We start from the raw sequence: 18,445 nt of genomic DNA on the forward strand, positions 1-18,445 counted from the left end.
TTTAAATTCTAAAAGATCATTTAGACAGTAGTTTTGCCATTTTTATTCCCCTAGAAATGAAAGTTATACTTAAATAGGAAATTCATTTTTGAGAAATAGTAATTTAGGAAGAAGACCTTTATGACATTTTAGATGTCACTTTGCTTGATATATTTGCTCCCTCTAGTGAGTATTCCTGCCCTTGTTTGCAATATTTTACAGATTTAAGGCAAGAACTAGCAGTTCGGGAAAGACAACAGGAAGTAACTAGAAAGTCGGCTCCTAGCTCTCCAACTCTAGACTGTGAAAAGATGGACTCCGCCGTCCAAGCATCACTTTCTTTGCCAGCTACCCCTGTTGGCAAAGGAACGGAGAACACTTTTCCTTCACCGAAAGGTTTGTAATGTCTTTTCTTTTTGAGGCGATGTGTTAGATGATCAGCTTACGGGGGTTTGTTGCTGAAGGCGGTTGCTAAGGTTTAAAGAGTAATTTTAGTTTAAAAGTTGGTGAAGTCTAGTGCTATGTGAAATAGAAGAAGGAATTGTTTTCCTAGGCCACTAATATATAGGAAACAGTGAAATGATGGTTACATTTAAGATGAGATTTTTAAAAGTTAAAGGTTTTTAAGGAAAGTTTATTTTTTGATGATAGCAATAGATTTTGTGATTACAGCCGTATGTTTAGGTAGAAAATTTTAAAAACACAGAAAAAGAAAATAAAAATCATGTTATCTTACCACTTACAGGCACCCACCATTAACATTTTGAGTTTTTTTTTCTATTGTGTGCTTGTGTGTGTTTGTGCACATCTCTTTGTCACATGCAAATTTGGGGATCATATTTAAACACAGTTTTATTTCTTCCTTTTGCCACTTTCCATATCATGGGAGACCTGAGGCCTTTCTACATAGAATGTACAGAGAATCATTAAGTTATCTTTCAGACTCATGTAAGACCGGCTTGGATGGACATGCCCATTCTGTTACATGCTTCAGGAGCTGCCATTTTCAAAAGCATTGTTCGGAGTAATTGATGATTGGCACATACAGAATACTCACATTGCCATGAACCAGTGTGTTTTTTTAAAATCCGGATAAGCAGAAAAACCACCTAGTAGCCACTAGATAGAACCTTAAAATGGAATCTTAAAGCTCTCAATTGAGATTTGTTTAGATTTTGCAGCTCGTAGTTCATATTTCTGCTACTCTCATCCCCCCTTGCTTTTTTTTTCCACCCTATATTGAAGCTGTCATCCCACCCTTTTTAAAATATAGGGTTTTATCTTTTAGAATGCTATGTGGGCAACTAGTACAGTGAGCTCTCTCTGTCTGTGCTACTCAATAGTCACCAGCCCATGTGGCTATTTAAATTTATATTAAAATGAAATAAAATATAAAATTCAGTTTCTTTGTCACATTAACCACATTTCAAGTGCTCAGTAACCCTTGAGTAGGTAATTCAACTTGTCTTTGCCTTGTTACGAGATGATATCAGATAAGGTATGTGAAGGTGCTGTATGGTTGTAAGGTGTTACTAATTGCGCTAGGTTTACTGCTGAGGACAAAGGGCAGGCAATAGATTATTAGCAGTCATCAGGAGCCCTCACGGTCAGTTTTTCAGAAGAGCTGCTTGTATATTTGAAGATTTCACAATTACACCTGAGGACTAACAAAGTTTTACTTTTATGTTACTGATTAGAATTATGCAGATCTGAAAATCCTTTAATTGAAGACGAATCAGAATAGTGAAAAGCCTCAGGTGCGGTGACACCCACAGGTGGTGCACATTTTTTTTTAATAGCCCGTTAGAGTTTTCATTCAGGGACTTGGGGAGTCAAAAGGACATGGAGCCTGCTGTGGCACGGCATGAGGTGTGCCAACCCTATGGCAGTAATATTTGCTTAATAGATATGTTTTTAGGCTGGAACCAATAGCATGAATTTTCACTGGCTAACCTAAAAGCTGCTGTGTACTAGATCACTGCAATTTCATTACAAGAAAGCACAGAGTTGTGAGCAGCAGCAGGTGGTCAGAGAAATCGGTAAGATCTTAGAGCTGATCTTTCTGAAGTGGTCTGTCTTTAATTGTATTTTACCTTTTACAATGTTTGTTTCTCTTTCTTTCTTTCTTTCTCTTTCTTTCTTTTTCTTTCTTCCTTTCTTTCTTTTCTTTTCTTTTTCTTCTCTTTTTTTTTTTTTTTTTTGACAGAGTTTTGCTTTTTTTGCCCAGGCTAGAGTGCAATGGTGCGATCTTGGCTCATTGCAACTTCCGCCTCCTGGGTTCAAGTGATTCTCCTGCCTTGGCCTCCCAAGTAGCTGGGATTACAGGTGTGTGCCACCACACCCAGCTAATTTTGTATTTTTAGTAGAAATGGGGTTTCACCATGTTGGTCAGGCCAGTCTCAAACTCCTGACCTCAGGTGATCCACCCACCTCAGCCTCCCAAAGTGCTGAGAGTACAGGCATGAGCCACCATGCCCAGCCTACAATGTTTGTTTCTAAAAAGCATTTAAAGCAACTTACCATAAAAGCACAGATTTAATAACACCTAAAATGTAAAACTTGAATAGGGAAAAATGAGATCTAGAAATCCCTGCCAAGAACAGTACAGCGGTTTTTTATATCACGTTGAGCGCCTGTTATGTGTCATGTGTTATTCTGGATGCTGGGAGCACAGTGGTAAGACAAAGCCCCTACCTTCAATGAGATTATATTCTTGAGGAGAAGAAGGATAATAAACAACAAAAAAGCCACACAAGTATTTTCGTTGCTGATTAGCACTCTGTGGAAAACAAACATAAAAAATAATAGCTAACCTTTATTGAGTACTTACTACGTGCATTTTTAAAGTACATTAATTTAAACTTCACAACATCTTTATGATGAGGTAGTTGTTATTTGCCCCCTCTTACATATGGGTCACTTACCCAGTGGCTGAACTGGATTTGAATACAGTAGTTCAGCTCAAGAGCCGTTAATCATGATGTCATATTATCTCTTAAAAATTAAGAAATGTGCACGACTGAAAACCTTACTGAGTGTGGAAGAAGATATGGGTAAATATCATGGTAAATACTATGATTCTGAATGGGAAGACTTAATTTTCTTACAATATCCATTCTCCCCAAGTCAATCTGTAATTTCAACTTCTAATAAAAATCCTAATAGGATTTAAAAAATTGATATGTTGATATTAAAATTATTTTGGAATAGTAAATGTGCAAGAACAGCTGAGAAAAATTTGAAATGGGCTAATAACAAGAGGGATCTTTGCCTTTTGAGATCTCAAAATATATTTTAACATTATAATAAAGTAGCATACTTCTGATAGAATAGGCTAATAGTTCAATGGAACTGAAATATATTCATATATTTAGGGAATTTAGTTTATAGTTATAGTGCTATTTCAGATGAGATGAGTTTTCCCTAAATGATACTAGGACAATTGGCTCTCCATTTGGAGGAAAAAATTTAGATATGTATCTTATAGACAACTATAATTTCTAGGTGAATTAAATGATCTAAATGTAAAAAAATCAGAAAAATACTAGGAGAAAGTATGGGAAACATTATGACATTAAGATGGAAAAGCCAAAGGTTCTCCTACCGAAACACAGTGTTTACAAGATGAATGTCACGCTGAGAGATAGAACATCTATAAGAGAAAGGGTGAACATCCAGAATGTATAGAGTTCTTACAAATTGATTACAGGAAAGACAAACCAGTAGAGAAATGTACAAAGACTAAACAGCTGATTTTCAGAAGAGATTCAAATGACTAGTTACTATGGAAATAGAAACTAAAAAACGTGACTATCAAATTGTCAAAAAAAAAAAAGATAATATCTAATATTATCAAGGGCACCACCGCATAGATTGCTGATATTAGCACAGGCTTTTTAGAGAGCATTTTGGCAGTGTCTGTTAAGGTGAAAAAAATGGGCATATGTTCTGACCCAGCAGTTCTATTTTTAGGAATCTCTTTTCCAGAAATACTTGTCTAGATGTTTAAGAGTATATGTCCTTGTAGCATTACTTATAATGGCGAAAAATTTGATATAATGTAAATATCCACCAATTGGACAGTGGTTTAGCCTATTTATGGTATCTATACTTTATCCATAGTTTGAAGTAGTTTGTTGATATTGTATTGAGTGTTACACTACTTTGTAACATCAACAACAAAACCCAAATGTAAAGGGAACTGCAAGTGTAATCACTCAGCTTTTATTTTTCTCTAGCTATACCAAATGGTTTTGGTACCAGTCCACTAACTCCCTCTGCTAGGATATCAGCACTAAACATCGTGGGGGATCTCTTACGGAAAGTAGGGGTAAGTTTCAATTATTTATCACTAGGTGTTTCCACTGACAAGGTATTGAATTATTTCTTAATTTGAAGTGAGGGAAGAAAGAAAGGATACTTTCCTGTGGTAAAGGCTGTCATGAAGCTCAGAAGCAAAAGCATCCATTGACTAGCCAAGTCCAGATGACACTTCATGATGCCCCTGCAGAAGAGCCTGTACCTTGAACTCTGAGGTTCCCACCGGGGCATTCTTCCTGTTCCCCACTCCTGTTTCAACAGCACGATGCCTCTGTCCTTGTCTAGAATACTTTGTCTAAGGCCTGCTGTGTGTCTTCTACCACCCTCATCCTGGTCTTTGCTGCTGTCTACCGTCTTCCTGGTCATTCCTTTGTTTTGTGTTTGTGGGACTTTAACATTTGGCTCATGGCATTACTCTCTACTTTTAGTCTTGCCCACCTTATTTCCTTGGCCACCTCAACTTCAGTGCCTTCTCCTTGGTGTGAGCCTTGTATTCCAGAACAGTTTCGCTTCTGAAATATTAAACCCAGCCGGACGCGGTGGCTCACGCCTGTAATCCCAGCACTTTGGGAGGCTGAGGCGGGTGGATCACCTGAGGTCAGGAGTTCAAGACCAGCCTGGCCAACATGGTGAAACCCTGTCTCTACTAAAAATACAAAAATTAGTCGGCATGGTGGCAGATGCCTGTAATCCCAGCTACTTGGGAGGCTGAGGCAAGAGAATCACTTGAACCCAGGAGGCGGAGGTTGCAGTGAGCCGAGATCGAGCCACTGCACTCCAGCCTGGGCAACAGACAGCAAGACTCCATCTCAAAAAAAAAAAAAAAAAAAAAATTAAACCCGTTTTTCTGCTTAATCAGTGTGTTACTGTGTACCATACCTACTCTTTAACCTCATCAAGAGTATTACCCCATTTTTTAGTGTGTTTGTTTTTATCAGCCATCTCTTGCTTTCACTTCCTTTCTATTCATCTGTGATCTCACACATCTCTTACTCTGTCACTGTTGACTTCATGGTCTCTCTGGCCACAAAGGAGATCTGCAGTCTGAATTACTGGAAACAGTTGCAGAACCATGTGGATTTATGCCACTATCAAGTCAGCATTTCTAGCATTAGCTCCCATTACTATTTCCCTTAGTGAGTTTTACCTCTCCTTTCAGTAATCAACCATTGCCATTTCCCACTATCTACTACCCCCTTCACTTATTTTCGTGTGTGACACTTTCTAAAAAATGTAGAAATTGCATTATACTTTATCTAAAGCAGATATGGGAGGCCAAGACACAGGTCCTATGTTTGCCTGTTTCAGCTCATCATAGGGGTTATTTTCTAACCATCAGATTAAACCTGCATTTTTAAGGTTAAAATACAAAGTAAAGTGCACAGGTCGTTCCTACAGTACATAGAGTAATCTTTCTTCACTCCCAAGATAACCATTTTAAAATCCTCTATGTTGGAGTATTTGTCTTTATAACTTGAAATCATGTGCTTATTTTTCTGTTTATCTTGATTTACTCAACTTTAAGCAAAGATATTTTTATTTTTATTTTTTGTTCTTTTAAAAAAATTACTTTAACATTCTTGAACTTTTGTTTCTGAATGTATTAGGTTATATCTTTTTTTTTTTTTTTTTTTTTTTGAGAACGGAGTCTCGCTTTGTTGCCAAGGCTGGAGTGCAGCGGCACGATCTCAGCTCACTGCAACCTCTGCCTCCCAGGTTCAAGCGATTCTCCTGCATCAGCCTCCTGAGTAGCTGGGATTACAGGCACATGCCACCACACCTGGCTAATTTTTGTATTTTTAGTAGAGACGGGGTTTCACCATGTTGGCCATGCTGGTCTTGAACGCCTGACTTCAGGTGATCTGCCTGCCTTGGCCTGCCAAAGTGCTGGGATTACAGGCATGAGCCACCATGTCTGGCCAGTATTAGACTATATCTTAACTCGCTGTTCTCTCCCTTTCTTCCCCACCACACTCCCACTCCGCTTTCCTTTTCTGAGCCCTCTACTAGCTGTGTGAGCTCTCTGTTGGTTGGTTCTAAAAATGGAAAAGTAGTCAAACAGCATTTGTAACAATGCACATATATGTGTTATTTACTGTGTAATCACAGAGGAGATGCTGGACTTTCAGATGGGTCTTTATATTTGTGCCATTCAACAAATGTGTTTTGAGAATTTTGTTCTTTAACTGTAATTTACTCAAAATCATACTGGGTTTTTAAATATTTCGTATTGTAGCTGACTGTACGCTGCTTTCTTTTCCTAGCATTTCTGTTTCCCCTTCTTTCTTTTGAGTAGAAGAAACCTACACCTTTCTTTGCTCTCGGATCTTCTAGCTTCTTCTTCACACTCTTTGTGGGATGCCCTGATGGGCTTCGAGGGCTGCTGCATTGTTGTCGCCCTCGAATTTCTCTCCATTTTACTCTTGGGTTAGTTCTGCCTGTTCCTCACCCCACGTTGTTGTCTGTCTTTGTTCCTTGTTTGTTTTGCTTTAGTACTTTAATTTATTCAGAAGTGGTGCATGAAAGTTTAATTTGGCATCCTTGTATGGTTTACACATTCAGCTGACAATCCGTCTTCTAAGAGTTATCAAAATAACGACCTCCAAAAGTCATCAACACTTTGGGTCTGCTGGTGTCCACCAGCCCTTGTTGGCTTTTATGAATATTTCATTTATGCCTCTTTACACGACTTTGTCCACTGACTTGAACTGGAAGCCCTTCTCCACTCTTGCATGCCTTCACAGAGAAAATCAAGGCCATTTGTTTTAAGCTTCTTTGATTTCTTTTCTCATCTTTTGTTATTACTCTCCTATTATTACCTCTATTTGTAGCCATTCCTCCTTTTTGTCCCAGTGGTAAAAGTGCAAATTCCTGTCCGTGGCTAATTTTGTCCATCTGTGCTTTGGATCTCATTTCTTCCAACCCTTAAATCTTTATTTCTCCTGTATTTCAGCCTTTTACTATATATGCGTTAATATTTATGTATAATGTTTATGTATTACACATTATATGTTATGTGTTATACAGGTATACTTTGATATTTCTGTATTACATGTTATCCATATAAATATATGTAATACTTATGTGGTACATATTACATACTTTAAAGCTTCTTGAAAGCGTGTCCCCATTTATTGTTAGCATTTTGACTGCATGCACACGCCCCAGACACTTTAGCCTGGGCTCTGTCCCCTGCTTATGCCGCTAAAACTGCTCACTGGTGATCTCAGTGCTGTCAAATCCTGTGGATGCCGTTCTGTCCTAATTTTACTTGAAGCATTCAACACTGACCGTTTTTTTTTTTTAATGCCCTCTTTTCTCTCCTTCTCTGATGCTGTTTCATGGCTGCTCCCAACTTTCTTTCCATTCCTCTTAGTCATCTTGTTGGGTCTTCATCTGCTCACCCTTTCGATATTGGTTTTACTCAGAGTTCTGTCCTTGATTTTCTGATCTTAATCACAGCCATAGTTTCATCCACCCCTGGGTGTGGATGTCTTTCAAATCTTAATCTCTAGACCACCCTTTCCCCCCTCAAAAGACCTGGTGCTCGTGCTTGGATGTCTCACTGATGTCTCAGACATAAGTTGTGCCTGCCGTGTGATAGATACTCAATATGGATTTGAATGAATGCGTGTCTTGAATATAGGAATTGAATGGCTCTCAATTTCTACTGTGTGTGTGTGTGTGTGTGTAGCTTTAATAAGCTGCTGAATTATTGCTGAATTATGCTTATTCAGAGTTTGTTTTACAAGGTCATTACCTCTCTTCCTTTTTTCTGTTGTCATTTTAGTAGGTCATTGTACTTTTGTCATAGGAAAGAAGGAGAAGAAAAAAGTTTGTCTGTTTTTGTTGCTGTTTCTTTTTTTTGAGACAGAGTCTCACTCTGTCGCCCAGGCTGTAGTGCAGTGGTGCTATCAAGGCTCACAGCAATCTCTGCTTCCTGGGTTCCAGTGATTCTTGTGCCTTAGCCTCCTGCGTAGCTGGGATTACAGGTGCATGCCACCACACCCAGCTAATTTTTTTATTTTTTCTTTAGTAGAGACAGGGTTTTACCATCTTGGCCAGGCTGGTCTCGAACTCATGGCCTCAAGTGATCCACCTGCCTTGGCCTCCTAAAGTGCTGGGATTACAGGAATGAGCCACTGCACCCAACCATTGTTGCTGTTTCTGAATAGCTGTTATTGAAATGTGGGGGGAGGAGGTCCAAATGGATTCTCAAAGTGAAGTATATGTTACCTGTGGATTTAATTTAGCTGTGCATTCCCAGTCCTTTACTGTCATGGATAATAGACATGAATTGTGTATATATATATTTTGCCATGGATAGTATTTTTCTTTTCGGAGAAGGAGGGGTTTGATTTGGGCAAAGTGTTTATGGGAAAGAGACAGCTGGTGAAGTGTGAGTGTGTGGAAATACATGAGAAACGCCTGATCTCTCCATGTCATCTGCGTTGGTAGAGCCCTGTGCTTGCCAGGTGTTGTGGTGACAGGTGCAAAACAAGGGTGCCCAATTTAGAGGTAAATGCTAAAAGGCCAGTGTCATTTGCGGGTGAATTATTTAATTACAGACAAAGGGTATCAGTTAAACATTTTACAGAGTGCTGTCAGAAATAAAATAGCTTTTAATTTCATGTAAAGTGTTGTAAATGTTCTCATCCATTCTCATGCAGTAGAAAAAATGAAGAACCTAGAGAAAGAATTGGCTGCCGTAAAAAAAATTCTCAAGTGATATTTTTGGGTTTTTTAATAGTGCTTGCTCCCAAAACACACCCTGCCCCCCAACACCAACTAACAGTCTACAGCTTAGAAACGAGCAATGGATAGGGTCAAGAGACCTGGGATCTGCTGTTCCACCTCCTGTACCACACTTTTTTTAGTTGTAAGGGGAAGATTATATGTATTTCCTTCAGTAACGCTAAGAGGAGGAAACAAAATATTCTGAGGTCATTAGAAAGGGAGCATAAGTATTCCCCCTTTTTATTAGAAAGTTGATTGATTATGGCTGAACTAACCACCATTATCAACTGAGATGAGTAAGTTTTGAGGCTTGAAATAGAAATGGTTTGAAATGCAAATTTTTATGTGCAGCTACTGTTTTGACAACCATATCATTCCTCCTTCTTTTTTGTAGGCTTTAGAATCCAAATTAGCAGCTTGCAGGAATTTTGCAAAGGACCAAGCATCACGAAAATCCTATATTTCAGGGAATGTTAACTGTGGGGTGCTGAATGGCAATGGCACAAAGTTCTCTCGATCAGGGCATACATCTTTCTTCGACAAAGGGTAAGTCCTGAATGTTTTAAGTGATAATTTTTTGAGTAGTAAAGTGACAGGTTAGTAAGTGAGCATAATGAAGCCTTGAAAAGGTAAACTCAGCTTGACAAACCTTCCCGAAGCCTGTTATCATTCTAATCTTAGGTGACATGACGTCTGTTGTTGTCCTCTAGTCCCCATGGAGTCTGTTGCCCCAGGAACCCTGAATCTGAGGCTTCTGTCCTGGGAAGCAGACTCTTGAAAGGCAGCAGTGTGAGGCTCTGGTGAGTCAAAATGACTGCGATAAGGTCCCTGTTCTCCAGGTGCTTACAGGCTGGCAGACTTGGAAATATTTTTTTGGGGTAGAAGACAGCATCACAATTAAATATATGCAAACTCTACAACAGACATCCCCTGTGAGAATTTTAGAGAAATATAAAGCCCTGAAGTACTTAGGCACTGGATCAAATACAGTTTAGGAGATACAACTTTTGTATAAAGTTAAGGCTTTTTTGAAGATTGAAATAAAATTGTTTTAAGGTTGAAGCATCCTTAATGCAAAAAATTTCAGTTAGTATGGAAGTATATGAACTAAAAAGTCATGGTTTCCTGCCTTCACACTGTTTCTGCATTCCTTACAGTTATTCCAAGGCATGCCAAATCATATTTTTATGCATCTGCTCTAAGTTGTTTGTAACACAGTTACGGGATTATACTTTAAATATTGCTTTGCAGTGTGCCTATCATGACTTCTATTGCCATTATCTTTCCATGTCATGTATATTATTCTACCTCAATTTACTTATTTATTTTTAAATACTACATGGTAATACGTGGTTGTATGAGTATGCCTTAATATAGGTCACTATTAGGACCCGTGGCCTGGGATGCTCACGGTGTTGCCTAAGGTAGTTGTTATTGAAACAGCCAACAGGCACCCGTGATCCTTGGCTACTGTCTCTGCTTTGAGTCAAAGAGGTAATTCTTGCTTGTTTTTCTCTGAAAGCAGAGCAGGTACAACTCTAGAAACGCTCACAATCTCTGAAAGCAGCTGGGATTTTCTGCCGTCCTCAATAATTATGGCACATGTGTAAAGGAGCAGATTCGACACACGGTGCACTCTGAATAGGCTCTTATCCTTGCAGTGGAGTGTTTTGGTTGATCTCTGTCCCTGATTTTACCCTGGAGAATATACATTTCATTAAGGATTTTGTATTAAAAGCACATCCTAAAACATCACTATACAAATTAGAACTTTATTCTTTCTTAAAAAATTTGTTTAAATAATTTTTGTTTTCTTTTGAAGAGATGGGGGTCTCACTCTGTTGCCTAGGCTGATCTCAAACTCCTGGGCTCAAGTGATCCTCCTGCCTCAGCCTCCCAAAGTGCTGGGCTTGCCGCCGCGCCCAGCTGAAATCAGAACTTTATTCTAACCATTGGGTTTCCTCGGGTGGAGTAAACATAAAATTGATTTTCCTCAGGCTTAGGAGTTTCAGGCAGACTTGCGGCAGCCCTTGTTTTTATAGTGGAATGATAAATGGAATGACTGGATGGTTTTACATGAGCGTAGCCATTTCCCCTGAATGATATGGAGAACTTTTAGGGTAGTCTTCATAAATGTTGGAAGCAGTGCCTAATTATTTTTCCCTACAACTTATAATGATCCTCTACTAGAGTAGTTATTAGTTTCTCCTTGGAATCGTATTTCTTGATGGGCCGCAGGTGCCTTTCATGAGAGCAGGTGTGAATCATAAATGGATAGGTCGGACAGGTGCCTGTGCGTGTGGAAGCCCTGAAGAACAGTCACGAGGAGGGAAGGATAACACTGTCTGTTCAGGGTCGCTACTCCTGCCCGCCACTTGCCTCCCAAGACAGAGCACCAGGGCAGGGATTGCCAAGAGGTGAGCCTGTTCTGAGGGAGATGTGGGGACCTTAGGGTGAGCTGAAGCCAGGAACAGGCCTTGGGCACACTGACTGCACCTCTGCCCCTTGAGAGCATCCGAGATGTAAGTGTAGGCTTTACTTCCTGAGCTGAACCCGGAAATGTGCTGTGCTTCCCAATCGGAACAGTTGCAGATACTGAGTTTTGGTTTTAAATGGTAGACATTTTACATTGTGCCTTTTCTATTAAGAAATATGCTTTTGTGGGCTGGCTGTTGTGTGAGTGTTTAGCTTATATGATAAGTGGATTGTGTATGCGCACTGAAATATTAACCTACTGTTGCTGGAGTTGTCTTTCTAGTTGCTGTATTCCTGAGGATAACTCTTTTGTGGGTTTTGCTGTGTTTTCACTTTCTTGCCGCTTTGCTTCGATTCCGGCTTTTGGCCTGTCTGGCTTTTTACCTCTGGCTTTTCTTCTGCCAACCTGTTGACCAGATAAAAACCAAGATGTTGTGTAGCAGCCGCAAAAGGAAGGGCAGGATATTCCACTTCCCAGGTCCATTATACACTCTGGCAGGTTAAAAACACAAAAGCCTGTCTGTGTAGAAGTGGAGAAGTATGGCTTGTAGTTTCAGCATGAGAAAAGTGCCCCATTTGAAAAAGCCCTCCACTGCAGAACCTGCCTGCCCTCCCTCTCACTCCTGAGGAGTCTGTAGCACCGTGGTGATGGCTCACTAGTGCTGCCAGAAACCTGCGGCAGGATTGTTTGGGGGAGAGACATCATCAAAGTAGGTTTGTGTGTGTGTGCATGTGTGCGGGTGTACATGTGTTCACCTTCCCACCCGCTGAAACTTCAGATGCAGTGAAGCCTTCTCACATAAAACAATATACCTTAACTGGGCGTATTGCTCTGTGGGATTCAAAAGTATTTTGTAAATTCTGGTCACTTGAGGGCTTCTTGGAATCAGGTTTTTGTCTAGTCTGTGAGCACTTCTGCCAGTTCCTGAAACATGGGCTGCCGTGCCTGCTTCCCAGGTGCCGAGCTGTTTCCTTCAACCATGGTCACCCTTTGTCTCACCATCTGAAAGGACACACATTTCATGTGGAGTGTGGTCGCTTGGAGTCTCTCAAAAACACTCTTTTTTTTCCCATAACTTTATGTAGTTTCTTAGGTAACATGTGCTCTATTTTTGTAAGCCACTCTGAGTTCTTTTGGGCTGTGTGTAGGTGGGCATGGACTAATTTTAGGGCGTGATGTGGAAATAGTATTCGTATTACTGTTTAATATGTTCTCCTTTCTTTTATTAGGCAAGAAAAAGTCATATTTCCCACGTTGTTCATGGGTAACTGAATTTGTTTGCTGTGCTCTTTTTCATTCTTTCTTAATCCTGGTGTGTGGTGGAAGACACATTAACAATCTGGTTTTACTAACTGCATGGGGCTGACTCAGCTTTAACCAACTTACAGCCCATCAGTGAACTTTCACGGTCCTGTTCGACTTGACTGTATGCCGTTATTAGTTCAGCTGTGAGAAACAAGAACAAATTAGTTGCAGTGGTCCTGGGGTGGCTGGGAGTAGCATGCCAGGTGGCACGCCTGAGATGGGCTAGGGCGCTGTAGTGTTGATTTCAGAGTCTGGCGATGGGGGTTTGAGGTCACTGTCAGGCCCTGGGATCACCTTTGACTGTCTTCCTGGGACTGGGGGTCTTCCCGTTACCCAGTTGCTTCTGTTTTCTCAAGTCAGGCACCAGTGTGAGCATTCCCTCACCTCTGCGCTCACGCATGGAGTCCCCAGTTAAAATGGAATGGTACATGGGGACGTGTGTAAGATCTGCCTTACATTTCAGAACTGCTTTGCAGTTTGCAGAGCCTGGGCTGAGAACTGGAGCAGGCTGGAGCTGCTCTGAGCCCACACTCATCCACTGAAATAGGAGACTCAGGTGTGGCGTGTGCCTGCCTGCAGGCTCTTCTGGATAGCTTGAGCCCACCCTCCTGCCCTCTCCAGTGTCCTGATCCTTGCTGCTTTGACAGAGTTAATGTTTCCATCCTTCATCTCAGCTGCTTTGGATTTATTGTCCTGAGTAGCTTCTAAGTGTGCCTTGGCTCTTCCCCCTTTTCACTTCTTCCACTGACATTTTACAACTGACCTTAGCACTTTTTCTTAGCTGGATTCTCTATATTTCAGCCTCCTTAACTAGTCTGTGGTGGTAAGATCATGAAATTTTATAGCTCTGGAACCTTTTTTTTACATATATGATTCCCAGATCTGTATCTTCAAGCCTGCCCCATCACTCTTCCTTCAGTCCTGTCTTGTGCACTGGGACATTGCCCTGTGGCTCTTTGCTGCTCCCTGAAACTGAATCTGTTGAATATAGAGTCTCTTCTCTTGCAAATCTTTTCCCCATGCACAGCTTTGCAGGCCTCTGAAGGACTTCACTAGACCTGTCATCCCATCTAGAAGGCCAGCTTTCTTCTCTCTCTGTTCTTTAACTTTCTACTTTTTGAGTCAGGAGAGAGGCGCTAGGTGAGACCCTGGTGGATTGATGTTCCCTCTCTACTCCACCCACCTTCACATTAAGCGTTCCATTTCTGCCCATGTAGAAATTTACCGGTTCTCTCTTTATAGTCTGGGCTGCACCACTTACTTTTCCCATTAGAGCCGGCCTGCATTGGAGTGCCGAAGTGGTTGCTTCTGAGGGCTGCTAGGTGGCCTCTGACCAGGAGGAGACTAGAAAAGGGTCCTGGCCTGGGCATCTGGAGGCAGCTGTGGCCCCGACTTCCCCATCAGTGGCTCACTAGGTGAGCCTAGGCTAATGGCTGGACCTTCTCTTGCTTTGGTTGTCTTGGCAGTGGAACAGTGGGATGAACCTGTTGTTCCTTACGGTGCACTTGAAAATGCCAGAATCCCATCCTCAACCTGCTTGAGGAGCCATCTCCTAGTTGCTGCTTTTGTACACCCCCGTGGCCCAGGTGCCAGATTCTTCTTGGCATCCAATGGTGCTCCCTTTCTGCTGGGTTCCGGGCACTGTCTGCAGTACAGGTTTAGGGGCTTGCCTGCCACTGTGATGTGTGAGGCCAGGAATCTGAGGTTCACACGTGCTGAGAGCTGCAGGCATTTGTGGGGCCTGCCTGGTTGTCCCTGAGGTTTCTAGGAGAAGCAGGTGTCAGGGACTCTGGGACTAGCCAGACAGATGGAGCCTATTATATGAGGGCTACCGTGGCAAATAGGATATGGCCTTGGCCCCAGAAGAGGCACAGGCCTGTGACCTTGGGAGAGTGGGAAGGATGATTTCAAACTTGCAAATGTGTTGAAGCTCAAAAATCAGACCTAACCCAGTGAGGAAAGAGACAATCTGGCTGTTTGTCGTCGAAGTAGGACAGTGTGCAACAGGGAGAAATGACATTTGTCAGAGCCTTTCTCCTGGGGCTCTTGGTCTCTGTATGCGTGGTTGGAATTTAAACTCCACATATGTACTCTGAGTTTAGTTTCTTTAGACATGAACTTTGTTTCTTCCAAGTAGGCAGGGACTATTTGTCAAGTCTCTGCATGCCTGTTTGTCTGTGAGGTTATCCTCACCCCGTCAGTGTACGAAACAGCTGTCTCTGCAGGGAGTGTGTGTCGGCATTTTTTTTTTTTAAGGAGAACCTCTCTCCATGAGTCTGTATTTAGCTCCCTGGAGCCGTCTGATGAGTAGGTGGGGGCAGTAGTGGGCAGGTGTGGTGCAGTGTGGCCCCTTGTCGTAGTTGGCTTTATCTCCCAAATTGCTAGTGGGACAAATTTTCCTAGGAAGCGTTTCAAGGTGGAAAGGCTGAAGTGGCTCCTGAGAGAGGTTCCAGGCTGCACACTCCCTCCCCCTCTTGCTGCTTCCTGTGGCTGCGCTGCATGGTGCGTGAGGGGGATGCTTGGGGGGCTCCCTGCATCGCTGGGCTCTGGGTGCGTGATGGGGACGCTGGGGGGCTCCCTGTGTCGCTGGGCTCCGGGTGCTGGGTCCTGGCTGCAGGCTATTGGGTTGGGCTGGGCTGTCTGCACACGAGTCTGCGTTGAAAAGCCTACTCATCTGGCGTTGCTTGCTAAACAATTTTTAAAAGGTTATTTTTCTCCACCTTATTAAGATATTCGTGTATTAATACATTATATTTGGAAAATGTAAGGAGATTTGGAAAATGATTAAAAAAGGATAAAGTAGTAAACAAAATTCACCCACAGCCCAGAGGGAAGAAAAGTAACGATTCTTAAATTTTCTTTTTATGATATATATGATCCTATGTACATATATGTTGGTGTGTGTATATATATATGTGTATGCGTATATATAATGTATGTATATATACATTTATTTATACACACTCCCCCTCTGTCCCTGCTTTGTGGATTTAGCTGCATGGATAGTAATGTCTATCTAAGGGGCTATAGTCTAGAATCTAGAATATATACTATTTGCTTTTTTTTCTTTCATATCATTGAATCTACAGAGTTTGGTAACCTGCATCTTTTTCCACTTAGTGTTAGTTACATTCTGAATATTTTCCCATGCTATTAAAAAACTTGTGGAATGTGTTTTTAATGGCTGTGCAATATCTTATTGTTCAGTTGTACCATTATTTATTTAACTAGTTCCCTATTGCCAGGCATTTAGACCTGCTTTATGGGGAAAGAATCAGGACTGTGGCTTCCGTGGCCAGTGTGCGGCAGTTGCCAAACAGGTCATGTGGTCCTGGTTCCCCAGGATTCCCAAAGGCTCAATTCTCTAACCAGCTGGTGCTTTCCAGGCAGCCAGTGCCCCTTGGGCCATCAGGACCCTACAGCCTGCGAGGAATAGTTTTAGAAAGCAGATTAATTTCCTATTGTGTGTGAGTGATTTTAAATGAGTTTTTCGTTTCCCCTTTCTTCCCTTCTGTGCTCTGGTTGCTCCCACAGGGCAGTAAACGGCTTTGACCCCGCTCCTCCTCCTCCTGGTCTGGGCTCCTCGCGTCCATCGTCAGCGCCGGGTATGCTGCCTCTCAGTGTGTGAGTGCCTAGCCTCCAGGTGGGGGCTCCTGCCCTCCTCCAACAACCCAGGACACCCACGCCTCACCCCTCGGTGCCTGGGCCCAGCCCCGTGCCCCTCCGTCTGCCTCCGCACGGCTGGCAGAGGGCAGGCTGCATGCAGTGGCGGCTACTGGGCCCTGCCCAGCCCCGGAACTCTGCGCGATATCAATACTGGCTATTTTCTCTTCTCGCCGTAGTGCCGTTGGTTTCACATGATTGCACTTTTGTGGGTCGCAAGGTGATACATACGTGTATTACTTGGTCACTGGATGCAGAAGTACCCATTCATCACACCTGCCCCATAGCCCCCACTCTGCTGTACTGATAGGATTTAGTTGTGTTTTAGGACATTGCAAATCTTCTAGAAGTTCTCCCCCAAATCAGGTCAATGTGTGCCCTCCTGAGCTCCCACCCAGGCATCTCCAGTGCTCATGATCATGTGTCCCCCAACTCCACCCCTCACAGTTTGGGCCTGTTTCTGGCAAAGAGTCAGGAAGGTTACTGAATTAGGGAACATTTTCTGCACCTTCTGATTTTACTTAAGCAGCTACCATTCCATGGACTTGCCTCCCAGAGCAGCACAATGCCCGTCTGAGCCCCACGTGGCAGGAGCCTCTGGGACGGGGCACACACAGGCCCAGCCTCTGTGCTGTCTCCTCCTCCGTGCGCCTCAGACTCGGGGTGAGGGAGGCGGGCAGCCTCTCGCCAGCCTTCCCGTCCTTCAGTTCAACGACATCTTTGGAGTGTTTTTGTTTTCTCTTCCAAGGGCCGTCCCGTTGTGTTAGGAAGGGTGAGTGGCTGGTTCCAGGGTGGGCCGGTGCCAGCTCCGGGGTGGACTGAACAGCGGCGGCTGTCCCTGTGCATCCTTTGATTACTCTCATGCTGCATTTACTGTTTACATTTGTTTTATTGTACATAGGTTTGTAAACATTATTGCCTGAGATATTTGTATATAACTTGGGCTTTGTAGCTTTTATTTATTCAGAACGCATACGGCATGTTAATGACTCTGATGGTGTCCTCCTCTGGGCAGCTGTATAGGATCATCATGTGGTTACAAAAAATACTTCCCTCAAAAAAATTCTTTTAATGTGGAAACAATAAATTTCACAGAAAAAAAGGATTGACGTTGCTTTATTCAGTCTCTGCCATCCCATGAGAGGAGAGCTGGGGCCCGTAAAGCCAGGTTCCAACGTCACTGCTGCTCTGACATGGGACACGCAGCTGTGGAATGGGACAGAGATCAGGTGGCCTCCGGAGATGTCTTATGTGCGGAGCAGGCGTCCTCATGCTGTTTCTTGGCACTGGCTTCTGGGCTTGGCTGTGATTTCCAGGAGCAGTTTGAGAATGGCCTGGGCCCCATGTGAAAATCTGAAAGGAAGGACCAGGATGTTGAGGGCGGAAGTTCACAAAGTCCCAGAGTAACTGGGATGGATCCGGGACCTGGTCCTGCAGCTGTGCTGCCATTCATGACAGATGTTGTCATTCTGGGATTAGAAGTCGCTTCGAACCGGCACTTCTCCTCATCCCTCAGGTTAATGCTAGCAAGTGAGAGAAGGTGTCAGATACTTGATAGCAAGACACATTGAAGAACGCGTAAACTGGGGGTCTGTGTGAATGCATCAGATTCTGAGCACTGTTTGCTTAGAACAACAGAAACATTTTATAGTTTTAAAACTGTAAGTAACTGAAAACGATGTGAATCAAAACCCTAAGAGACTTCGGGAGGCCGAGGTGGGCGGATCACAAGGTCAGGAGTTCGAGACCAGCCTGACCAACATGGTGAAACCCTGTCTCTACTAAAAATACAAAAATTGGCCAGGCATGGTGGCGGGTGCCTGTAGTCCCAGCTACTTGGGAGGCTGAGGCAGGAGAATCGCTTGAACCTGGGAGGTGGAGGTTGCAGTGAACTGAGATCATGTCACTGCACTCCAGCCTGGGTGACAGAGCTAGACTCTGTCTCAAGAAAACCCACAAAAACCC

The 18,445-nt window shown here is 42.8% G+C and overlaps 1 protein-coding gene across 9 annotated transcripts in view, besides 1 other annotated feature; it reads left to right on the forward strand.

Moving 5' to 3' along the window:
* NDEL1 (nudE neurodevelopment protein 1 like 1) overlaps positions 1–18,445 on the forward strand; it is a 61,198-nt gene that overhangs the window by 37,448 nt on the left and 5,305 nt on the right. For 4 of the 9 annotated variants that reach the window (XM_047436861.1, XM_017025184.2, NM_030808.5 and 1 more), the window contains 4 exons: positions 202–375; positions 4,218–4,309; positions 9,431–9,582; positions 16,352–17,585. In XM_047436861.1, coding sequence (XP_047292817.1) covers positions 202–375; positions 4,218–4,309; positions 9,431–9,582; positions 16,352–16,445 — 512 coding nt within the window. In that variant the 3' untranslated portion in view covers positions 16,446–17,585. Of the gene's footprint in view, positions 1–201; positions 376–4,217; positions 4,310–9,430; positions 9,583–12,741; positions 12,777–16,351; positions 17,586–18,445 lie in introns of those variants that run through there. The other 5 variants (XM_017025186.2, NM_001025579.3, XM_017025188.2 and 2 more) reach the window with 3 other exon arrangements.
* Positions 14,940–15,140: a silencer, noted in NCBI's record as "peak2717 fragment used in MPRA reporter construct". NCBI's record gives its function as "represses an SCP1 promoter by STARR-seq MPRAs in K562 erythroleukemia cells {active_cell/tissue: K562}" and the evidence as "EXISTENCE:reporter gene assay evidence [ECO:0000049][PMID:32103011]".

The sequence above is a fragment of the Homo sapiens genome, chromosome 17, assembly GCF_000001405.40.
Source record: "Homo sapiens chromosome 17, GRCh38.p14 Primary Assembly".
Taxonomy (NCBI): Eukaryota; Metazoa; Chordata; class Mammalia; order Primates; family Hominidae; genus Homo; species Homo sapiens.